General features: G+C 39.9%; 1 protein-coding gene and 1 pseudogene across 23 annotated transcripts in view, besides 1 other annotated feature; one reads left to right on the forward strand and one right to left on the reverse strand.

The window, feature by feature from the left end:
• Window positions 1-26,392, reverse strand: part of EVI5 (ecotropic viral integration site 5) — a 283,715-nt gene that overhangs the window by 242,687 nt on the left and 14,636 nt on the right. The window lies entirely within an intron of this gene.
• CCNJP2 (cyclin J pseudogene 2) lies at window positions 4,289-5,871 on the forward strand (annotated as a pseudogene).
• Window positions 22,963-23,626: an enhancer, noted in NCBI's record as "NANOG hESC enhancer chr1:93239902-93240565 (GRCh37/hg19 assembly coordinates)". NCBI's record gives its function as "activates a minimal SCP1, AML or CMV promoter by ChIP-STARR-seq in naive H9 embryonic stem cells {active_cell/tissue: H9 hESC(naive)}" and the evidence as "EXISTENCE:reporter gene assay evidence [ECO:0000049][PMID:30033119]".

Below are 26,392 nucleotides of genomic sequence, written 5' to 3' on the forward strand. Positions count from 1 at the left end.
ACATATTCGAGCATATCACATGTGCTATCAATCTTATATTTTTGTACAAGTCCTTTCTGCAACCTTCTGACTTGCTCCATTCTGGACTAGTTGCTCTACACCTGGTACACAACTGTGATCCCAGGTATTCCTTTCACCTCACTTGGGTTGGATCATTTGTTTCCTAAACACTATGTCTTCCCTTTGCTCAAAACACTCTTATTTTGGTGGAGTACCTCCTCTACTACCTTCCTGAAAGGGGTTGCATGAGAGGTGAGTTTGAGACACTGCATATGTGAAAATGCTTTTTCTACTGTTACACTTGAAAATGACTGCACTATAAACTCTTAGATTACAAATAATTTTCCCAACCGGGCACAGTGGCTCCCGTCTGTAATCTCAGCACTTTGGGAAGCCAAGGTGGGTGGATCATCTGGCTCAGGAGTTCGAAACCAGCCTAGGCAACATGGTGAAACCCCATCTCTACTAAAAACACAAAAAATTAGCCGGGCATGGTGGTGCACGCCTATAATAATTACAACTACTTGGGAGGCTGAGGCAGGAGAGTTGCTTGAACCCAGGGGGCGGAGGTAGCAGTGAGCCAAGATCACGCCACTGCACTCAAGCCTGGGCGACAGAGAGACACCCTGTCTTAAAAAAATAATAATTTTCCCTTATACTTAAGATATTGCCCTCTATTGTCTTTTGCTTCCAGTATTCTTGTTGAAGAGCCTGTAACTACTCTAATTTTATTAACTAACCCATTTTTCCTTTACCTCTGGGAACTTCTCTATCTTCTCCTTAGCCCCTTAGTTGTGAAAATTCAATAAAATGACGGAATCTCGCTCTGTTGCCCAGGCTAGAGTACAGTGGCACAATCTCAGCTCACTACAGCCTCCGCCTCTTGGGTTCAAGCAATTCTCCTGCCTCAGCCTCCTGAGTACCTGGAATTACAGGCACGTGCCACCACGCCTGGCTACTTTTTGTATTTTTAGTAGAGACAGGGTTTCACCATGTTGGCCAGGCTGGTCTCGAACTCCTGGCCTCAAGTGATTTGCCCGCCTCGACCTCCCAAAGTGCTGGGATTACAGGCGTGAGCCACTCACTGCACCCAGCCTAATGAAACGTCTTAATACAGATATTTTTTTCACCTGTTGTGCTTAGCACTCCAATGGGCCCTTTTAATTTAGAAAAGGACCAATCGGAGTGCTAAGCACAGCAGGTTGTTCAGTTCTGGGAACTTTTCCTTCTTTGTGGGGAGCGGGGAGTCGACCTGAGCATGACGAGGGGCAGCGGTGCAGCACAGCCCTGTTTTCCTAATTTCTTTTATGACATCCTCCTCCATATTTTCTTTCTGAAACTCCTGTCTCCTTGCCAGTCAGCTCACAATAAAGCCCTTTTTCTTTTCTCAAAAGCCGGTGTCATAGTATTGGGTTCTATGAGCATCAAGCAGTGAGCCCACTGCTTAGTAATACCAGTATCACTCACTGAACAAGAATTTATTTAGAATCTACTTTCTAAAAGAACACTTTATTGGGTGCTAAAAGTGTCGTCATAAACAAAATAGACATGGTCCTTTCCCTCACAGAGCTAGTTAAGAAGTCAGACAAATAGTGAATAAATAAATGCAGAGAAGGATACATGACATGAGGGCAAAACACTAAAGAACTTAATTTGATAGGGTGGATAAGGACTGCCTTTCTGAGGAGGCAACGTTTAAGATAAGATCTATGAAATGAGCAGGAAGAAGCCAGATAAACAAAGAGTCAGGCAAAAAAAAAAAAAGAAGGAAAATGTACAAAGGCCCTGAAGAACTGAATATTTTGATGGGTTAAAAACCACTCTCATCCAGTCGACATGGCTCAGGCCTGTGATCTCAGCACCTTGGAAGGCCAAGGCAGGAGGATCACTTGAGCCCAGGAGTTCAAGACTAGCCTAGGCTACACAGTGAGACTTCATCTCAATCAAACAGTCAATCAACCAATCAATCAATCAATAGAAAAGCACTCTCTAATAGAAATATAAGGCAAGCCACAAATGCAAGCCATATCAGTTAAGATTCTCTAGTAGCTATATTCTAAAAAGTAAAAACAAGTAAAACAAATGAAATTATATTTTTTAACCCAATATACTCAAAACATTATTTCAATAGATAAGGAATATGAAGAAATTATTAGTGTAATATTTTACATTCTTTCTTTAATATTAAGTCTGAAATTCAGTATGAATTTTACATGTACACCACATCTCAATTCAGACTAGTCACAGTTCAAGAGCTCACTCATCACATGTAGCTAGGGGCCTCCATATTAAACAACACAGGTTACAAGAACTAAAAAGTACCAAATGTGTGACTCAAAATTACACCTAATTTTGGAATCTAATTTTGGAATATATTTTCTGAATATAATTAGATATAATCCTCTGTAGTAATACTGTCTCTCCATAATCTATAAAAACAATCCACTAGGATATAGTTAAGTACTGTCTCTTGCTACATATACCAGCAAAATCCTAAACTGACAGGACTTTAGGTTTTTTACATTCTTCCATATTTTGAAAAAGAAAAAGGAAAAAATTTAGCTTCAGTTAATATGCCTAGAAGGAAGTCTGAAATGAAAGTCATCTAGGAAAGATTGTATCCTAACCCAAGCCCCAGAGAATAGTAAAGTAAAAGCCACATGCCATAACTTCAAAATCAATGCCATACTCCCATAGCCAGGGTAGCATTAGTAGCTGAGAGGCTTACTTTAACTACTATTCAGAAGAAACAATGTGGTCTTTACATGCTATCCAACAATGACTCATGATTCAAACATCAGGCTATCTCAGCTTTAGGGATTTAATATCCCTTCTAAATTTTTTACTTCCACCAGAATACTATCAATTTCACTCAACAAATACTTACTAAACATAGGCATAAGGCTAGGCATTGAGTGGGAAAATAAGTAAGACATATGGTTCCTGTCCTGTCTTCAAATTGCTCACCAGTAATGAAGTATGGGGAGGCAAACATGGAAACAATTACAAGTCTCTTTCTCTCATCCATTACTACCAAACCTAGTAGCTTAATACATTAAATATTTATTATCTCCCAGTTTCTGTATGTCAGAAACTGCAGTACAGTTTAGCTGGGCGATTCTGGCTCATGGCCTCTCATGAGCTTGCAGACAAGATCTTGGCTAGTGCTGCTGTCATCTGAAGGCTTGACTGGGGCTGGAAGAGCTGCTTCAAAGATGGCTCCCTCATATAGTTATTGGCAAAAGTCCTCAGTTTCTCACCATGTGGACCTTTCCATAAGACTGCTGAGTATCTTCACCTTGTGGCAACTGGCTTCCCCCAGAACAAGAAAGCAAGACAGAAAATGCTTACATGATTTAGCTTCATAAGTCACTCTGATATTTTTGTAATATTCAATTGGTTACACAAGTCAGCCCTATTCAACATGGGAAGAAAGCGCATAACAGCATAAATATAAGGAAGTGGAGACCACTGACAGCCATCCTGGAGGCTAATGACCTCATGTGACATATTATGTTCAACACACAAAGTTGGGCAATAATGAAAATGTAAAAGGGCATGTTTATATGATATACTGTTTATAAACATACATGTAAGTATAATGTTATATCTTAAAGAAGATGGGGATTATGTTTACAAGTACATTTATAATGTTTATTTCTTAAGGTGGGTGATGTGAACATAGGTTTTTTTTTTTTTTTTTTTTTGCATCTGAAATATTCATTATAAAAAACTGATGCTTTGGGCCAGCTGTAGTGGCTCACGCCTGAAATCCTAGCACTTTGAGAGGCTGAGGTGGGTGGATCACTACAGGTCAGGAGTTCAAGACCAGCCTGGCCAACATGTTGAAACCCCGTCTCCACTAAAAAATATAAAAATTAGCCGGACGTGGGTGGCACACACCTGTAGTCCCAGCTATTCAGGAGGCTGAAGCAGGAGAATCACTTGAACCCAGGAGGCAGATATTGCAGTGAGCCAAGATCACACCACTGCACTCCAGCCTGGGCGACACAGCAAGATTCCGTCTTAAAAACAAAACGAACAAACCAAAAAACCCAAAAACAAAAAAACTAATGATTTGTCTAAAGGAAATTAGTATTTTTAAAGACATTATTGCTGAATACATTCATTCATACAGCTGTTTAGAACGACTATTTGGAAGTATCCATGATACATGTCGATGGGCTGACTCAGAAATCTGTCCCAATACTCAAATAAGCAAGGACCTACGTACTGAAATTAATCACAGAATTGGGAGCCGCCTGCCAGTCCTTTAACAATGGGGGGAGCTTGGCCAGAGCTGAGACTGGTGCTTCGCAGCCAACTGTCTGCAGCACCAGTGGGGCCGACGCCAAGGGGACTGAGGCTGTGAGGGCCTCGGGGCGGGACTGTAGTTGTCGTGTCTGGCTGCATGCACCTCAGGGTCCCAGGGAGCTGGAGAAGCAGTGATGGCGAGGAGAGCTGGCTGCCAATATTCACCGAGCACTTGGTACAAAGAGCTGAAGTTGCCCTCATACAAAGGCCAGTCCCCTCAACTGAGTCTCAGCCAGTATTTTGCTGACTTGACTGCCATTGTGAGCGATCACGTCACGCTCTTTCTACACCAGCATCTTGCTATTTACTAGAACTATTTATGGATTGCTATGACATCTCTATCTAGCAGCTGTATTTAGCTGCAGTTTCCCATCTGCTTCTAGCAAGTAAATCTGAAGAAAAAGAAGATAGTGTGCCTAAGCTGGAACAGCTCAACAGCCTAGGTGTTATGACTAATATGAATGTAGTATTAACAAAACAAAATTTGCTACATGTGTAACTCTTATCATTAGAAACCTATCAGTGGAATGGACCTCCGCCTTCCAACAGCTGCCCATTTCATTGAATTTGTTCTCTCTGAAGTAGTACACAAAACAGATCTTCACGATGGCTGGCCAACGATTTGCCTGGAAAAGATTAAACACTACACAGCCAAATATGCAGATTTCCTGGAAGTACTGTTGCAAAATTACCCCTTTCTAAATTATGCACTTTCTTCTGTAGCTGCTACATGTATGGCTTCTTCGAGGATTATACTTCGTCTTTCTCCAACATGGCCTACAAGACTACATCATTACATCATCTTACTGCTTACTCCTGGTATTTCTTAGTGCCGTGTACTGAACAGCTATTGACTGCTCATGATAATGATGTGAAAGAAGCAAAGAGAGGACAAGCAGGACCTCAAATGGCACAACTAAGTGTGTTCTAGACAGTCTCCCAGCCCTCACAGCCAGTTCACTTTCAGCAACCTCAGCATGTCAAACAGTCACATAGACCTCACCGCTGTATCGCCATCCTACATCAACCAAGCTGTTGTTAGCAGATGGTATCTACTATGCACGCCTCATCTTACAAGCTACAGATGTGTCCTCCTGGCTTCCAAACTAGTGTTCAGGGCCTTGGGCACATGCGCACTGGTATTGGGCTGTCCCTCACTGGCAATAGTAGCAGAAGTTAAGCCCTGTCTGAATGTTTCTTATAACCAGAGCTTTCAGACAAATGAACATTACCCTTGTATTACTTCATGCTTTGAAAGGTGATTATGTGTAAGGGTAATAACTGACCCAGACTGCTCTGTGACTTGAAGCTCTGGGTAAGCTTTTTGTAAACTTCCATTCAAAAGTAAAGAGATCCAAATGACATCAGAACTCTTCAGGTACCAGCACCAGGAAGACTGAATATCTCTTTCAATATGCCATGAACACCTGCAAGGACTAAACAAACACTTTGACGGTGCGTGTGTCAAATTTAGTTACAACAAATCCGTGTATGACAAAAATGCTCACGTCCTGGCTAATAGTTCAAATATTTCAAAAATATTCAATACAACAGAAAATTTGGACAGACTCCAATTTGCCGTTTTGAGATTTGACCTATGGTAGATTATGGGCCTAACATTGGCTTATAAGTCAAAAACAAACGTTTATCTTGGGCTTGCCAAACAGTCTTTTATGATGTAAAGTACTAATTTTTGAAGAGGTTTTTTTTTATTCTACAGTTTTGAGTTTTATCTTTGTTCTCTAGAAGAAATTTTGAGTAAGTTTAAAGTCATGAATTCCTATGCTGTGGCAATCTGTACAATAAAAAAAATTTAGATGATTCTACATAACTTCCTATTATAAATAGTATAGGTATATGGATTTATGCACTAAAATTAAGGCTGGAGTAGATCTCTTATTTTTAAAAAGAAAAAAAAAATCAGGCCAAGTATGGTAGCTCACACTTGTAATCCCAGCACTTTGGGAGGCCAAAGTGGGTGGATCACTTGAGGCCAGGAGTTTGAGACCAGCCTGGCCAACATGACAAAACCCCGTCTCTATTAAAGATACAAAAATTAGCCAGGCATGGTGGTGCACGCCTGTAATCCTAGCTACTCAGCAGGCTGAGGCATAAGAATCACTTGAACCCGGGAGGCAGAGGTTGCAGTGAGCCGAGACTGAGCCACTGCACAATCCAGCCTGGGCAAAAGAGTGAGCGAGACTCTGCCTCAAAAAAAAAAAAAAAAAAAAAAAATCACAGAATTATTTATAAGAAAAAACTGGTAATAACCACAATGTTCATCAATCAGAAAATAAGCAAATAAATTATGACACTACCATACAACAGAATGTGATGCAGCCATTAAAAATAACATGGTTCCCAATTTGATGGAGCCAATCAAATATAGGTAAAGAATAGGATATACATACAATATAATACCATATTTTGATAGGCTATGAAACTATTAACAGCTACCTCAAGATAGTGAGAATGTAGCAAGTGAAATAAAAACAGAGAAAGAAAACTTTGCTACTTTAGCGACTTCTGTATTTAAAATTTTTTAGTATCATGTAAGCCTTTTGTGATTTTGTTTTAAAAAGTTGGTTAAGGCTGGGCGCGGTGGCTCATACCTGTAATCCCAGCACTCTGGAAGGCCAAAGCAGGTGGATTGCTCGAGCCCAGGAGTTCAAGACCAGCTTGGGCAACATGGCAAAACCCCGTCTCTACAAAAAATACAAAAATTAGCCGGGCATAGTGGCGCACACCTGTGGTCCCAGCTACTCAGGAGCCTGAGGCAGGACTATTGATTGAGTCTACGAGGTCAGAGGCTGCAGTGAGCCATTATTCAGCCACTGCACTCCAGCCTGGGTGACAGGGCAAGACCCTGTCTCACAAAAAAAAAAAAAAAATCTGGTTAAGACAACAATCAGGCAGACCACATGCAAAATGTTAATGCAACAAAAAGTGAAAAAAGAACTCAAATTACACATATATTCAAATTAGATCAAAGATATAGGCAGAGACATGAAGAAAATACATCAAAATTAAAATAAAGGTTATGTCAGAATACTAAATTTGGGGTCAGAGAGAGTTCTTTCTCTTTTTTCTAATTATCTCCAATATGGTTACATAAAACTTATAATTAAGGAATGAGACCTACACATCAAAAAAAAAAGGTGAAAGATGATCAAGAGCAGATAGAAAAAAAAAGACACTAGACAGCAGCCTAAAGAAGACAAATACTGTCTAATGTAATTTTGTTTTTAAAGTAATTCTTAGCTGGGCGCAGTGGCTCATGCCTGCAATCCCAACACTTTGGGAGGCCCAAGCAGGCAGATCACTTGAGCTCAGACCAGCCTGGGCAACATGGTGAAACCCCATCTCTACCGAAAATACAAAAACTTAGCCGGGTGTGGTGGCGCACGTTCCAGATACTTAGGAGGCTGAGGAGGGAGAACTGCTTGAGCTCAGGGGGCAGAGGTTACAGTGAGCCGAGATCATGCCGCTGTACTCCAGCCTGAGCAACAGTGAGATCCCATCTCAAAAAGAAAAAAAAGTAATTCTTATGTGTAAATGTTTTCATTATAAGTGATCCATATTTATGGAAAAAAAGAAAACCAAGAAGAAAATTTAATTGTCAACAAACTCACCACTCACATAATCAGTACTTTTTTTGAAAAAATGATGGAGCATGAACAATATATAGAGAGACACCTAAGCCTCACTCAGAAGTAAAACTGTGAACTAGCTACAAGTCCTTAACGGTTTCAAACAGACTTTTTTTAAAAGTATGTTTATAGTAAAACATATAAAATTTGCCATTCTCATTATTTTTAAATGTATGATTCATGGCATTTAATACATTCACAATCTTGTGCAACCATCAGCATTCTTTCCAAAACTTTTTCATCATCCCCAACAGAAATACTATATCCATTTCCCTTTCTTGCATCCCTGGGTAAACTCTAATCTACTTTCTGACTCTATGAATTTGCCTATTCTATATATATCATATAGGTGGGATCATACTTATATCATTATATGTAAAACTAGCCTTTTCTGTCTGGCTTATTTTACTTAGCATAATGTTTTCAAGGTTCATCCATGTTGTAGCATGTATCAGAACCTCATTCCTTTTTGTGGCTAAATAATATTCATATTCATACATATACAAATACCCTCCCCCCCACATACATTTTGTCTATGCATTCATCTCTATGCTGAGGAACATTTGGGTTATTTCCACCTTTTGACTCTTGGGAATCATGCTGCTATAAACATGAGCATACAAGTACCAAAGTGAGTTTTAATAGTTTGCTCTGGCTAAACTATAAAGAGAACAGAAGTAACAGAAACTGCCAAAAGCAATTACCACAATAAAATTCAATATAAGACATTAACTTTGTGATTTTTAATATTATTTATACTTCTTTTTCCAAATTTTGTTAAATATGTATTATTTTGCATAAATGAGGGGAAATTAATTTTTGGAGAGTCCTTTGTCATGACAAGAAAAATATGTTCTAATCTGAAAAGATACAAAGTAAGGAAATAAAAGGGAGAGAGCAACACAATGCTGAAGATATCAGGAGATCATTACTGAGGTCAGGATTGCAGGTTAGCAGCACAGCTGAGAAGGGAGCTGACCTGGAGCCTAAAAGCATCTTTTTTTCTTTTTTCCTGTTCTGAATAAGAGAGGGTACTAGTCTTCCCTCCCTAATGACGAGCACAGCAGCTAGTATACACTAAACAACAAAAGTTGGCTAAAAGAAGCGGGGCACAGTGGCTCATGCTTGTAATCCCAGCACACTGGGAGGCTGAGGCGGGAGGATCACTTGAGGTCAGGAGTTCGAGACCAGCCTGGCCAACATGGTAAAACTCTGTCTCTACTAAAAATACAAAAAAATTAGCTGGGTGTGGTGGCACACACCTGTAATCCCAGCTTCTTGAGACGCTAAGGCAGGAGAATTGCTTGAACCCAGGAGGCGGAGGTTGCAGTGACGCAAGATCGCGCCACAGCACTCCAGCCTGGGCGAAGACTGAGACTCTGTCTCAAAAAAAAAAAAAAAAAAGGTGGCATAAAGAATTAATGAATAGGCCGGGCGCAGTGGCTCACGCCTGTAATCCCAGCACTTTGGGAGGCCGAGGCGGGCAGATCACGAAGTCAGGAGATCGAGACCATCCTGGCTAATACGGTGAAACCCCATCTCTACTAAAAAAATACAAAAAATTAAACGGGCGTGGTGGTGGGCGCCTGTAGTCCCAGCTACTCAGAAGGCTGAGGCAGGAGAATGGCATGAACCCGGGAGGCGGAGCCTGCAGTGAGCCGAGATAGCGCCACTGCACTCCAGCCCGGGCAACACAGCGAGGCTCCATCTCAAAAAAAAAAAAAAAAAAAGAATTAATGAATAGGTAATTTCTACAGACCTCTAAGCTCTACCACCTATGTCATATTTTTTTAATTATTTATATTTTTAGTCTCAAATTGACTATTACAAGTACCTCAAGTTTCATAGTAAGTTTTATAGAAACCATACACTAGGGGAAATTGGCAGGTAGGTGAATGACAGGTAATTATATCTCAGGGATCATTATTTAAACTGCAACTTTGCTTAAACAAAATTACAAACCAGAGTGTGCAGACTTATAGCACGATTTTTTTTTAGTGGGTATTTGTCTAAGTATTTGTAACGCCAAATGCATCCACAGTTCTTTTCTTATTTGCCTCCAAAATAAATAGCAATATATCAAACTGAGAAGTACATCCTAAAATGTTTGCTCAAATTTCAAAATGCTGTATCAATGCAAATATAAAAGGTCATTAATTTGTATCTGCATACATCGTTATGTCTCCCACTTTAAGGAGTTTTCAAGGAGTTAAAAACTCTGAGCCCATAAAAAACCTGATATACAACTGAATTAATATGTGGAGAGTTAAAAATAATATTCACACCAGTTCCAGTAAGATTTTTTTAAGAAATGGTGTCTTGCTATATTGCCCAGGTTGGTCTCAAACTCCTGGGCTCTAGTAATGCTCCCGGCTCAGTCTCCCAAGTAGCTTGGACTACAGATGTGTGCTATCACAAATGGCTTAGTTCCAGTAAGATTTAAGGTTGGTACAAATATCTTATTACAGTAGGATTTAAGACTAGTACAAATGTAATACCTATCTTCAATCTTTTAACAGGTTATAAGAATTGTTGTTCCAATTCTGTAAATGGGAATAAACGCCCATGCAATGTCTTGCATATTATAAGTATTACCAAAATACTTGATATTAAAATGGAATATAGGTTTTAAAACATATCCAAAAAGAAGAATTTCAAGTTATGTCTTTCACTTATTTAAGCTAACAACTATCAGAGAGAGATGGAAGTTGCAAAGATACACAGAGCACTGGCTTCAGAAGAAATAAAAAAACACAAGAGTAGGAATTACAGAAAAAGGGAAAAAAGAGGAAATAATGGTAACACGACAATTATCTTTTCTTAGATGTCTATATGGCATGTTTCTCCAAGTTAATATTATCTGTAGGCATATAACATATTTCTATCTCTCTCTGATCCTTCCTGCCTTACAGCTAAATTTCAGGAAACAAAACATGTACACAATGACACATTACTGCTGCTGCTACCACCATCATTTACTATATGCTTTATTATGAGCCAGGCACTGTGACAAGACTTTAGATTCATTATCTTATTTAATCTTCACCATAACCCTGAGATATATTTTACTGAAGCTTATAGAGGTTAAACAACTTACCCAAGATCCCTTAGCTAATTAATAAATGATAGAGCCAAGATACTAAACATTCAGCCCTAAATGTTATGACAACTATAAATCACTGCTAAGAAGGTAAGCTAAAACTAACTGTAGAACATAAAAGTCAAAACATAGCATATCAGAATACGTCATGACCCTGAGGATTTTATTGCCTGCCTAAAACTAATCTTATTACCTATTTAAGAAATTCTATTAACTAAAATATTAAGGCAGAAATTATATTTGAAAAATGAAATTATCAACATACCACATGAAAATTCCCAACTCCTCTGAAAACAGCCTATTATAGACTATACTTAATCTTTTTCTGCTACATCGATGTAGTAAAACCAGTATTTTTTAAAAGGTCTCAGAGTGGGAGGGTGGGAGGCAGGTAAGGAAGGAGAAGTTATTTACTGGGTACAATATACACTATCCAGGTGATGGCTACACTAAAAGTCCAGACCTCACCACTACACAATATAACCATGTAGTGAAAACTGCACTTGTACCCCTAAATCTGTAAAAATAAAAAAAAGGGGCTGTGCATGGTGGCTCACACCTGTAATCCCAGCACCTTGAAGGCCAAGGTAGGAGGATCAATCCCTTGAGTCCAGGAGTTCGAGACCAGCCTGGGCAAAATAGGAAGCCCTTGTCTCTACAAATAAATTAAAAAGTAGCCAAGTGTAGTGGCACATGCCTGTGGTCCCAGCTACTTGAGAAGATGAGGTGGGAGGACTGCTTAAGCCTGGGAGGTCAAGACTGCAGTGAGCCATGATCACACCACTGCACTTGGCCTGGGCAGCAGAGTGAGACTTTGTCTCAAATAAATAAATACATATATAAAATATAAATGTTTAAAGGTCTCAAGAATATCAATAAAAATTTTGATAATTTTTATATTAAATATAAACCCTATAAACCCTAACAGAAACATCGGAAATTTTCCTGATTTTAAAATTAACATTTTGAGGCAGGCACGGTGGCTCACACCTGTAATCCTAGTGCTTTCGGAGGCCAAATTAGCTGGGCATGGTGGTGTGTGCCTGTAGTCCCAGCTACTTGGGAGGCTGACGCAGGAGAATCACTGGCACCCTGGAGTTTGACGCTGCAATGAGCTATGATCATGCCACTACACTCTGGCCTGGGTGAAAGAACAAGACTCTGTCTTTAAAACTAAATTAATTAATTTAATTTAAACATTTGGGGCTGGACATGGTGGCTCACACCTGGAATCCCAGCACTTTAGGAGGCCCAGGAGTGAGAATCACTTGAGGCCAAGAGTTTGAGGCTGTAGTGAGCTATGATTGTGACACTCCACTCCAGCCTAGGTGACAGAGGGAGTCTCTTAAAAAATAAATAATAAAATTTACATGAAAGGAAACCTTCCAACTTCATAAACTATAAGCAACAGTTTCTAAAGAAAGGAAGAAAAGAAGAGAAAATGAGAGAAAATTAATAGAGAAAAAGCATCCAATGGCTACCACATCATAATTACATGCCTGTATCAGAGGCAAATGGAAGTTTACGAAGGGTAAGAGAAACACCAAACTAATCTATGTTGGTTACAGGGCTTAAGTTTAAAAAAAAATCTAAATATAAAATGTCAGGTTTGTGGTTAATTTTTTTATATTTAATGCTCCAGTAGTATGAGTTTGTGTTTTAGCTGCAAATACATATTTATATTCACTGCTAGAGAACTTCACTAAATAGTACCACATGCACTGCTCTCCAGCTAAATAAAACCCCCTAAATCAGCTAAACAGCTCAGAAATATCTTAAGCTACATACAAAGTTACCACACATACCTACACTCATTTTTGCAACAGTTCAAAACATCTGAGTACAGCTGATATTTTTGTGTTATCTGATCAAGACATTTCACGTGAATAAATGAAGTATTACTCAGTTTTAGCATTTTCAATGTTTGTTAATCTAGGAATATTTAAAATGATAGTAGACCACAGGTGTGGCAAGAATTCTTTCCATAATTCCGTTTCTACTCTGAGACAGAACACTTAAACTTCCTCTCCCTGGTCCAATGTAACGAAAAATACCAGCCATATCCTTAGACTCAATAAAACCAGAGTTAGCAGCTGGTGATACTGATTACCAAACTTATTTCAAGATATCCAAAACTGTACAAGATACAGCATGCAATTACCTTGAAGAATTAGGATTTATTTGGCATTTGAAACCTTTTGAACTATACAAGTGCAACTTCATTCAAAAATAATTAATGAAATACTTTAACCAGCCATTTAATCTACTACCTAGTATTAAAAGATTTTTCAAGTTAATATGTCCAGTATAGTCATTGCTAGGTTATACTTATTTCTTATGAAGAAATAATGACCTTAAAACTATAAATAACAAATTACAATTTATTTGTTACAAATAACGAAAATTACCATGGTCTGTGTATCCGAAATAAGTTTCCTACATGCCAAAAAATTATGTCTTATTTAATGTTATATGCTTCGGTAAACACAATCTATAAAAGAATTATACAAACCCAGGACCTTTTCTGCTACTAGGCCAACCTAAATCATCCAACAAATAGAATAATTAATATTTTTAAGCACATACATCAGTTTTATGAGGCGGACAATATAATCCTCCATATTAACATGAGAAAACTGTCATATAGGTAATTTTGGTAATATACTTAACCATTTGGTAATTCAACAAAATTGAAATCAATTCTGCTACCAGACATTCCTTATATATATCTTCAATTTCATCTGAGGTTTCTGCATTTTTTTTCCTTCCTTTTTTTTTTTTTTTTTTTAATAGAGACAGGGTCTCACCATGTTGCCCAGGCTGGTCTTGAACTCCTAGGCTCAAGTGATCCTCCCACCTCAGCCTCTCAAAGTGCTGGGATTATGGGCGTGAGCCACCAAGACCGGCTGCTTTATGCATTTAGCCTTCCTTTAATATCATAATCACAAAATTAATATAGCTGCTATTTATATTGACCACCAAAACATATAGCAAGTACTGTTATAGGCACTACATGCTATTATTTCCACTCCTCATGACCAACTTTACACAGTAAATATCAAGACACATATTTTTCTGATTAAAAAAAAAAAAGACCCAGAAAAGTTATAAACAACAAAGACACGAAACAAAACCCATGCTCTACTACACCATGCCACTTTATTTCCCAGGCATCAATTCTTTTTATAATCAAATTCTTTTCAACACAGAATTTTGCTGGATTCCCTACCAAACCTAAAGTTGTCTTCCTTCATAGAGAAGGAATTATTATTACATGAACCACTTTGCTGTATTACCAAATTACTGACTTCCCCACAAATTCTTTTGTATTAAAACTGGGGGGAAAGGGCGGGGCATGGTGGTTCATGCCTGTAATCCTAACACTTTGGGAAGCCAAGGCGGGAGGGTCGCTTCAGGCTGCAAGCTCGAGATCAGCCTGGGTAACATATTGAGATCTCATATCCACAAAAAAATCTTTTAAAAACTAGCCAGGCATGGTGGCATGTGCCTGTAGTCCTGGCTACTCAGGAGTCTGTCCAAGTGTCAGATGTCTGACACTTGGGATTACTTGAGCCCAAGAGTTCAAGTTTACAGTGAGCTATGATCATGCCACTCCACTCCAGGCTGGGTGACAGAGCAAGACCCTGCAAAATAATAATAATAATAATAATAATAATAATAATAATAATAATTAATAAAATATATTGAATAAGAACACTGGAAAACTGAAATTTGATTATTTAAGCTGCACCTAAAATTGTTATACCTAAGCTGTTCAAGCTCGCAAGTGAGGAGCTAAGCCTATTCCCTAACCTCAACCTTCCAACGCCACAAACACAAAATTGTTTTGTTTCATTTTGTTTTTTTAAAAAAAGGATATCCACACACAATTTTTTCTTGACAGCAGCAAAGGTATTAAAATACCTGTTTCCTTATGTTTCATGCTAGTCCTTAAAAATACAAATTCAGAACAAGTAACTCTTAAAATATAGCATATATTATATGAATTTTAAATTTCAGTATACACAATATATCGAGCACTATGTTAAGTATGCTCAACAGCACTATCATTCCCTGCCCAATGTGAAATAAGAATTACCACTGTTTTGAAAAATCCTAAAATGTCAATAAAAATCTCAATATAATCCTCCAAAAGGGTAAATAGTGTCTAGATCATAGCAAAGGCCTAAAAACTCTATTTTAATGCTAGCCATTTTAGTTACTTTAACTACACAGGTACAGTAGTTCCTCCTTATCTGAGGTTTCACTCTCCATGGTTTCAGCTACCTGCCATCAAGCTGGTCCAAAAATATTACATGGAAAATTCCAGAAATAAACAATTCATTAATTCTCGGCCAGGCGCAGTGATTCAAGCCTATAATCCCAGCACTTTGGGAGGCCAAAGCAGGCGGATCACTTGAGGTCAGGAGTTTGAGAACAGCCTGGCCAAAATGGTGAAACTCTGTCCCTACTGAAAATACAAAAATTAGCTGGGCGTGGTGGCACACACCTGTAATCCCAGCGACTCGGGAGGCTGAGGCAGGACAATCACTGGAACCTGTGGAGGCAGAGGTTGCAGTGAGCTGATATCACACCACTGCACTCCAGCCTGGGAGACAGAGCAAGACTCCCTCTCAAAAAAAAAAAAAAAAAAAATCCAATTCATCAATTCTAAATTATATGCCATCTGCCCTGTTCCACCTGGGACATGAACCATCACTTTGCCCAGTGTATCCATACTGTATATGCTATCCGCCTGTTAGTTACTTAGTATGCATCTCATTTATCAGATCCACTATTGTTGCTGTATGACAGTGCTTGTGCTCAAGTAATCCTTATTTTACTTAATAATATTTGACTAGTAATAATTATTAATTGTTGTCTTTACTCTGTTACTGTGCCTAATTTATAAATAAAACTCTATCATAGGTAGGTATGAACAGGTAAATACATGCTACGCATAGGATTTGGTCCCATCCACAGTTTCAGGTATCACTAGTAGTCTTGGAATGTATCTCCCGAGGATAAGGGGGAACTACTATATACGTAAAAGAAAAGAGTGATGAAATTATGAGGTGGAAAAAATGTTCTCTTAATCAAAACTGGAAAAAGATACATGTGAAAAATCAGGGAATCCTGGCACAAATATACTAAATATCAATAAAATAATTTTTTAAAGGTCTTCAGCATCTCACCAGGTAAAGCACCATGTTCTATTAACAAGATGTATGGCTCTGACAAGTTATTTAAGCTCTTTGAATCTTGGTTTCCTTGAATTAAGCAATAATTCTAATGCTTTACTGTTGTAACATTCCAGGAAATTTATACAGACTCAAATAAGCAGATTTTTTGGCAGAGCACAGTGGTTCACGCCTGTAATCCCAGCACCTTGGGAGGCCAAGGCGGGTGAATCACTCGAGGCCAGGAGTTCGAGACCAGCCTGGCCAATGTGGCGAAACACTGTCTCTACTAAAAATACAAAAATTAGCTAGGCATGGTGGCAAACGCCTATAATCCCAGCTACTTGGGAAGCTGAGGAAAGAGAATCACTTGAACCTCGGAGGCGGAGGTTGCAGTGAGCCAAGATCACACCACTGCACTCCAACCTGGGCAACAGAGCAAGACCCTATCTCAAAAAAAAAAAAAAGAGAACTCATATAAGCAAATTTTTTATGCAATGGTTAGTTTCAAATATAACAGGAAAAAAAAAATCCTCAAAATGCTGCACTATAATAGAAAACTAAGGTCTTAATTCCCTGAGCTCCATATACTAGGTTACAGAAAAAATCAGACATTTCTGGGACAAGTCAATACAATGAGAGTACATAAGCAAGACTAAAGATACACAGCTACACAATAAAAGACTTTCAGAAGACGCCAAAAAAGCATTTAGGACTGCAAGAGGTTTTTTTAAATCTGATAATATTAAAGGAATCTAAAGTGTTACATACTCAACTCCAACACATCCACACCTTTCTAGTTCTCACCTGCCATAGGCAAGTAGGTATTCTGTCTAAAGTCAGAAGACTTCCGTCAGAGCTTATGCTCTTTGGACTCTCCTAGAGCTCAGGTGATTGCTCCCTTCTTCCCAGTTTCTGCTCTCAATTTTTAAACCTGCTCCTCTGCCATATTTAAAAATCTTGGCTGGGTGTGGTGACTGACTGACATCTGTAATCCCAGGACTTTGGGAGGCCAAGGCAGGTGGACTGCTTGATCCCAGGAGTTTAAGACCAGTCTGGGCAACAAGATGAAGCCCCATCTCTACAAAAAATACAAAAAGTAGCCGGGTGTGGCAGCACATGCCTGTAGTCCCAGCTACTCAGGAGGCTGAGGTGAGAGGACTGCTTGAGCCCAGTAGATCAAGACTGCAGTGAGCCATGAACGCACCACCACACTCCAGCTTGGGCGACCGGGCAAGACCCTGTCTCAAAAAAACAAAACAAAAACAAAATCTCGCTGAATCTTACATCCCCCTAAGTACCCTGTGTCTCACTGTATTCTCCCTTCCCCATAGCTAAGCAACTACAAAAAATGTTTAGCTTTTCACTCTTTCCTTTCTCACCTCCCACTTTTTCATTGCAAATTCTATTCTGCCATTTTTCTGAAACCACACTTAACCAAGGTTACTTACCAAGAACCTCTTTGTTGCTAAATCAAGTAAACACTTGACAGTCCTTATCTTAACTTGATCTCTCTGCAACATATGCCCCAGTACCATTCTCTCCTTTTATTCTGATTTTTCTGATTAGAAAATACATGTTAAGAACCCAAATATCCAGAAGAAAATGGAAGTCCAAGTACTCTGTAATCTCACTCTCAAAGACAGTCACAGTTAACAATATGGTATATATTCATCAAGATTTCTTTTCTAATAATACATATGACATTTAGGTATATATGTAATGTTTTAAATTTTACAAAATTAGAAAATTTTACATATTTCCTTGACAATTTATTTTACTTAAAGTACTTTGATCTTCTGTCCTTGTCAGTATTTGTGGTACGAAGATTAATTCCCTCCCTCCTCTCACGCCCCCTGCCACCCTACCTGCCCCAGGCAAAGAGCTCCACATCCCAATACCTGGAACCTGTGACTATGTTATCTTATACGGCAGAGGGTGCTTTGCAGCTATGATTAAGTTAAAGATCTTGAGGTAGGCTGGGCACGGTGGCTCACGCCTGTAATCCCAGCACTTTGGGAGGCCGAGGCAGGCAGATCACAAGGTCAGATCAAGACCATCCTGGGTAACATGGTGAAACCTCGTCTCTACTAAAAAAAATATATAAAAAATTAGCCGGGTGTGGTGGTGGGCATCTGTACTCCCAGCTACTCAGGAGGCTGAGGCAGGAGAATGGCATGAACCCGAGAGGCAGAGCCTGCAGTGAGCCGAGATGGCACCACTGCACTCCAGCCTGGGTGACAGAGTGAGACTCCCATCTCAACAACAAAAAAAAGATCATGAGAAGGGAGGTTATCTTGAATTATCTGGGTTGTGACTGATATAATCACATAAGTCTTTATGAGAGAGAAAACAATGTGAAGGCACAAACAGAAAAAAATTTGAAGATGCTATGCTGCTGGGTTTGAAGATGGAGGATGGAGACAAGGAATGCAAAGTAAGGAATACAAGGAACGCAGCTCGAGAAGCTAGAGAAGATTCTCCCCCAGAGCCTCCAGAAGAAACCAGCCCTGCTACAATCTTGACTTTAACCCAGTGAAACATTTTGAACTCTGACCTTCAGAACTGTGAGAGATTAAATTTGTTTTAAGTCACTAAGTTTGTACTAATTTGTTACAGCCGCACAGGAAAGTAACACAGTATAGACACCATACTCCATCAGCTGTATAGCATTCCATCATATAAATATAAATGTACTATACTTGATTTAACCAATCCTCTATTGATGGATACTTGGAGTGCTTCCGATTTTTTACTATTATTAATATATGTTAAAGACATTTCTCCACATGTGTACGTTTCTCTAGGATTTATTCCATAAAGTATAACTACTGGGACAAGTAACATAATACTACAAGTTTTAACAGATATAAAAAGAAACTGGCCAGGCGAGGTGGCTCACGCCTGTAATCCCAGCACTTTGGGAGGCCAAGGCGGGCTGATCACGAGGTCAGGAGATCAAGACCATCCTGGCTAACACAGTGAAACCCTGATTCTACTAAAAATACCAAAAATTAGCCGGGCGTGGTGGCAGGTGCCTGTAGTCCCAGCTACTTGGGAGGCTGAGGCAGGAGAATGGTGTGAACCCGGGAGGTGGAGGTTGCAGTGAGCCGAAATCGCGCCACTGAACTCCAGCCTGGGCGACAGAGCGGGACTCCATCTCAAAAAAAAGAAAAAGAAACCTCCAAAAGTCTGGGTTTTTTTGTTTGTTTGTTTTTTCGATCTGCCACCCAAACTGGAATGTAATGGCCCGATCCCGGTTCACTGCAACCTCCGCCTCCTGGGTTCAAGTGATTCTCCTGCCTCAGCCTCCCAAGTAGCTGGGATTACAGGCACCTGACACCACTCCCGGCTAATTTTTGTATTTTTAGTAGTGACAGGGTTTCACCATGTTGCCCAGGTTAGTCTTGAACTCCTGACCTCAGGTGATCCACCCACCTCGGCCTCCCAAAGTACTGGGATTACAGGAGAGAGCCACAGCGCCTGGCGAGAAGTCTGTATTTTTACTCACACTAACAACATTCCAGCCGCTTCCTCCCTCTTCAAAGTTCTATTCTTTTAACTTCTGTTAAATCACTTTCCTTGGTTTCCTTTTATAGTGGCTACTCCTTTTGTTCTTATGCAGACTCTTCATCAGCTCATTTCTTAAATGTTACTGGTCCCCAACATTCCAATTCTACTCCATCCTTCCTACACACACTCCCAGAGATATCTCATACTTCCTTTACTCCCAGTTACTACTTACAAACAAAATGGAACTCATCACTCCTTCCCTTTAAATCTTTTCCTCCACAGTGTTCACTCTATTGTCATACCAACATCCAGCAGCCTATAACAGATACATAGGGGTCACCTGATCCCTACCTTATCCTCACCCCATATATCAAGTCTAAGGATTCCATGTCCTTACAGCGCTAGAATCCATAAGCTTATCTACCTCCCTACCAATTCCTTGGATAAGGAATATATCAATTTTCTTTTCTTTTTTTTTTTTTTTTGAGACGGAGTCTCCCTCTGTCACCCAGGCTGGAGTGCAGTGGCACGATCTCGGCTCACCACAATCTCCACCTCCCAAGGTTCAAGCAATTCTCCTGCCTCAGCCTCCCAAGTAGCTGGGATTACAGACATGTGCCACCACGCCTGCCCGGAATACATCAATTTTCAAGTGTATTACTTTACTGTGTGTTTTACCTATTCCAAGTCTTATACCCCACTGTACTAGAATACTCTTTTTATTATTTTTTTTGAGACGGAGTCTCGCTCTGTCGCCCAGGCTGGAGTGCAATGGTGCAATCTCAGCTCACTGCAACCTCCGCCTCCTGGGTTCAAGCAATTCTCCTGCCTCACCCTCCTGAGTAACTGGGATTACAGGCACACACCACCACGCCCAGCTAATTTTTTATTTTTAGTAGAAACGGGGTTTCACCATGTTGATCAGGCTGGTCTCAAACTCCTGACCTTGTGATCTGCCCACCTCGGCCTCCCAAAGTGCTGGAATTACAGGCGTGAGCCACCACACCCGGCCTGCCCACTGTACCAGAATAATCTTTCTAAAACTCAATTCTGATTTGTCACTCAACTAGATCTTTTATAGATGGCAGAGTGGAATGTAAAATGGTAATTTTACAAATTTCCCCAAGAAATACAAGAAATAATACTACAAGTTTTAACAGATATAAAAAGAAACTGGCCAGGCGAGGTGGCTCACGCCTGTAATCCCAGCACTTTGGGAGGCCAAGGCGGGCTGATCACGAGGTCAGGAGATCAAGACCATCCTGGCTAACACAGTGAAACCCTGATTCTACTAAAAATACCAAAAATTAGCCGGGCTTGGTGGCGGGTGCCTGTAATTTCTTGGGGAAAATTGTTTAGCATTGTCTTCTAAAGTTAAACATACATCTTCCCTACAACTCAGTAATTCCACCACTATTCATTTATCCAAAATAAATGAAAGTGTATGTCTACAAAAAGACTCACAGCCAAAACTTCATAGCGGCTGGGTGCAGTAGCTCATGCCTGTAATCCCAGCACTTTGGGAGGGCGAGGCAGGTGGATCACCTGAGGACAGGAGGAGTTCAAGACCAGCCTGCCAAAGATGGTGAAACCCTGTCTCTACTAAAAATACAAACATTAGCTAGGCATGGTGTCAGGCACCTGTAATCCCAGCTACTCGGGAGGCTGAGGCAGGAGAATCACTTGAACCTGGGAGGTGGAGGTTGTACTGAGCCGAGATTGCACCATTGCACTCCAGCCTGGGCGACAAGAGAGAAACCCCATCTTAAAAAAAAAAAAAAAAAAGGGCCAGGCATGGTGGCTCACACTTGTAATCCCAGCACTTTCAGAGCCCGAGGTGGGCAGATCACCTGAGGTCAGGAGTTCAAGACCAGCCTGACCAACATGGAGAAACCCCATCTCTACTAAAAATGCAAAATTAGCCGGATGTGGTGGCACATGCCTGTAATCCCAGCACTCGGGAGGCTGAGCCAGGAGAATCTCTTGAACCCAGGAGGCAGAGGTTGCAGTGAGCCGAGATCGTGCCATTGCACTCCAGCCTGAGCAACAGGCTGTCTCAAAAAAAAAAAAAAAAACTTCATAGCTACTTTATTCATAATAGCCAAATAGGAGATAGGACAAATAAACTGTATTATATTCATACAATGTATTAATATGCATGGATTAAAAAGAACTACTGATATGTACAAGATCACGGATGAATTTCAAAAACATTATTTTGACCAAAAGAAGCAGACACAAAAGAAAACACACTGTTATTCTACTTATGTGAAGTTCAAGAACAAGAAAAACTAATCTATGGTAAAAGATATCACAATTCCAGACTGGGCAACAGAGCAAGACCCCCAAAAATTAGCCAAGTGCGGTGGCACAAACCCTGTTGTCCCCACTACTTAGAAAGCTGAGGCAGGAAGATCGCTTGAGCCCAGGAGCTCAAGGCTGCACTGAGCTATGATCACACTACTGCACTCCAGCCTGGGAAACAGGGCAAGACCTCATCTCTGAAAATAAAACAAAAAAATCACAACAATGGGGATTAACTACAGCAACCACAATAGGAATGATTCACATAGGTGTATAACTTTATCAAAACTCATTAAATTGGTCAGGTGCAGTGGCTGACGCCTGTAATCCCAACACTTTGGGAGCCTGAGGCAGAAGGATCACTGAAGCCCAGGAATTCGAGACTAGCCTGGACAACATAACAAGACCCCATCTCTATGAGAAAAAAAAATTTTTTAATTAGCCAGGTGTGGCAGCACATACCTGTAATCCCAGCTACTCAGGAGGCTGAGGTGGGAGGATTGCTTGAGCCCAGGAGGTCAAGGTTGCAGTAAGCCATGATCACCCCACTGCACTACAGTCTGGGCAACAGAGCAAGACCCTGTCTCCAAAAAAAAAAAAACAAAAAAAAACTTACAAATTATTTCTGGAATTTTCCATTTAATATTTTCAGACTGTAATTGACCACAGTTAAGTAAAACTGCAGATAAGGGAGGACTACTGTATTCAAAGACATTACATTATTCATGACTTATCCCCAAAATTCATTTTCAATTTACTTCAAGGTCTTTTCACCATCAAATTATGCTCAGTTTTCCAAACTATCCTGATTTCTGGTATGCCTGAAGATATTACATTTTTCTTCTACCTTTCTCATGTATTTCATTCAAATATATTATATAATTAATCATTAAAGCTACACTTTTATACAGTATCTGCTAACGCTGTTCTGATAAAGTCACTAGCATAATTTATGAGCATACTGGATTCATTTCTGACATACAAAAGATTCAGGCCAAAGACAACAGCAAATAATCATTTGAGCACCAACTCAGACAAAATCCCCATCCTTCCTTCTATCTCAGTGCTTACGCTTTCCTATGAACAAACAAAAAAAGCATTATCCATAATAAAGCAAGTTTTGTTCCTATCTCTCATCAAGGTCCCTTTCAAGAACAAAGGAGCTAGCAGTTACTTAAGAGGAGTCCTGATAACAAACTTACAAGACACTAAATAGCAAAAACAACAACAAAAACCCAGATAATAGCCAGTTTAACTAACTTTAGGGAACACTTTTCAGAGAGTTTAACTGTGTGAGTTGGATGAGCACAAAGAACAATGAACAAGGCACTAAACCCACATTGGTTTTGGCCACTTAAAAGGATAAACTGCAAACAGTACAAGCAGAGAAAGCTCTCTTGAAGTAAACAGCTAAAAATGCAAAATAAACATACCAGGCTAGTAGCAATACCTAGTGAGAAATGAGATGACACTTTGCAAGCAAACTTAGGGGGTCACAATCAACAGGTTCTAACAACAATTAATCAATCTACATTCTTCCAATGAGGAAGGACTATCGTAACACCATGAGAGATAGTAAAAATTCCCCATGTCATCTGATTGATATCTTGAATTTTATATACAAACACAAAAGTAAAATACAGTCATGCACCGCATAAGAACATTTCAGTCAATGGATACCACATATAAGAGGGTAGTCCCTGCCTGAGCATAGTGGCTCACGCCTGTAATCCCAGCACTTTGGGAGACTGAGGCAGGTGGATCATTTGAGGTCAGGAGTTCAAGACCAACCTGGCCAACGTGGTGAAACTCCATCTCTAATAAAAATGTAGAAATTAGCCATGTGTAGTGGTGTGTGCCTATAATCCCAGCTACTGGGAGGCTCAGGCAGGAGAATAGTTTGAACCCAGGAGGCAGAAGTTGCAGTGAGCTGAGATAGCGCCACTGCACTCCAGCCTGCGAGACACAGCGAGACTGCATTTCAAAAAAAAAAAAAAAGAGGGTGGTCTCATGAGATTATAATATAGTACTTTTGGTGTATCTTTGCTGTTTAGATACACAAGTACCACTGTGTTACAACTGCCTACAGTATTCCATACAATAACATACTGTACAGGTTTGTAGCCTAGGAGCAAAAGGCTATACCATATAGCCTAGGTGTGTATAGTAGGCTCTATTATCTAGCTTTGTCTAAGTGTATTCTACGATGTTCATGCAACAGTGAAATTGTCTAACAACTCATTTCTCAGAACATATCCCCATTGTTAAGCAACACATGACTGACTGTTACTAACTTGTGGTAGAAAGAAAAGGCCAATGGGGATTTTGTGCAGTTGAGAAGCAGGCTTCTGTATTTTATAAAACTTGTTAAAAATTAATTTGAGGCCGGGCACGGTGGCTCACGCCTGTAATCCCAGCACTTTGGGAGGCCGAGGCAGGTGGATCACGAGGTCAGGAGATCAAGACCATCCTGGCTAACACGGTGAAACCCTGATTCTACTAAAAATATCAAAAATTAGCCAGGCGTGGTGGTGGGCGCCTGTAGTCCCAGCTACTTGGGAGGCTGAGGCAGGAGAATGGCGTGAACCCGGGAGGCGGAGGTTGCAGTGAGCCAAAATTGCGCCACTGCACTCCAGCCTGGGCGACAGAGCAAGACTCCATCTCAAAAAAAAAAAAAAAAAATTAATTTGAAGAGCAATATGTAGAGCTCGCAGGTTTTTATTTTTTGCCAAATATTAGAAGGAAAAAATCTATCTACTATCTAGAATCACAACTTCATAAGAAAAAGGGCATTTTAACACAGAAAAAGGATGGATATAATTTAAAGGTGAATAAATTGTATAAACATTGATAACATTTCTATTTCATCATGAACTTCATGGTAAAAATTCTAACTCAAAGAGCAACATTTGGGAAGCTACTGACTTAGTGTTTTAAAGAAAATAAAAATATAGAATGTCAAAGAATAACAAAGCTATTAGAGATATTTAAAATAGAGACTTTAATGGGTGGTTTTATCATTCACTTTATGTTAACTATACACTAAAATCTCCACAACTTTATTAATCTTTAGTAATAGCTCATAACTTTTTCTAGTCTAGAAGCTTTTTTCAAAATAAAAAATTCTGAGTACTACCTCTCCCCATGATTGGATTTAAGCATTACTAAATGAAATGATAACACCATCATGACTTTTTTTTTTTTTTTTGAGATGGAGTTTCACTCACTGTCACCCAAGCTGGAGTGCAGTGGTATGATCTCGACTCACTGCAGCCTCTGCCTCTCATGTTCAAGTGATTCTCCTGCCTCAGCCTACCAAGTAGCTGGGACTACAGGTGCACACCACCATAGCCAGCTAACTTTTTTTTTTTTTTTTTTGAGACAGAGTCTCGCTCGTCGCCCAGGCTGGAGTGCAGTGGCAAGATCTCAGCTCACTGCAAGCTCCGCCTCCCGGGTTCACGCCATTCTCCTGCCTCAGCCTCCCGAGTAGCTGGGACTACAGACGCCCGCCACCACGCCTGGCTAATTTTTTGTATTTTTAGTAGAGACGGGGTTTCACCATGTTAGCCAAGATGGTCTCAATCTCCTGACCTCGTGATCCACCCGCCTTGGCCTCCCAAAGTGCTGGGATTACAGGTGTGAACCACTGCACCCAGCCAATTTTTTGTATTTTTAGTAGAGATGGGGTTTCACTATGTTGGCCAGGCTGGTCTTAAACTCCTGACCTCAGGTGATCCAGCTGCCTCAGACTCCCAAAGTGCTGGGATTACAGGCGTGAGCCACCACCACGCCCGGCCCATTATGACTTTTTAATAAATTTTATTATATATTACAAATATGCAAGAACTATTATTCATGCAACATTTAATGTACACATGGATTTCCAGACCCCTTGCAGAGATCTACAGCCCAATCCATTTCTCCAGGCACTCATCTCCTCCTACCACAAGTTTCTCACATTTTAGGCTGGACAATTCCTTTAGAGAAGGTATCAAATAGCTCGTTAAACCGGATTATCTTCAAAATCACTTCCAATCTTGAGATTATAAGATCCTGGGACAACGAGTACTTCTAAAAAGAATTTTGAGACTCCTAAAGAAATGATATCTTGACCAATATTTAGGTCCTCTACCTCCTGACACTCTTTTCAGACAACTATGAAGAAATTTAAAAGGTATAACCCCATAAGGAGGAGACAACAATGGAGGACAGGTGGCAACAAGTTTCTGTATAATGGAAAGCAGACAGTGGACTTCCAAGGTGAGATGGCAGATTGAACACACACACATCTAATTTTGCTTCCTCCCAAAACGTTACTAAAACAAGGATAA

Source organism: Homo sapiens, chromosome 1 (assembly GCF_000001405.40).
Source record: "Homo sapiens chromosome 1, GRCh38.p14 Primary Assembly".
Lineage (NCBI taxonomy): Eukaryota > Metazoa > Chordata > Mammalia > Primates > Hominidae > Homo > Homo sapiens.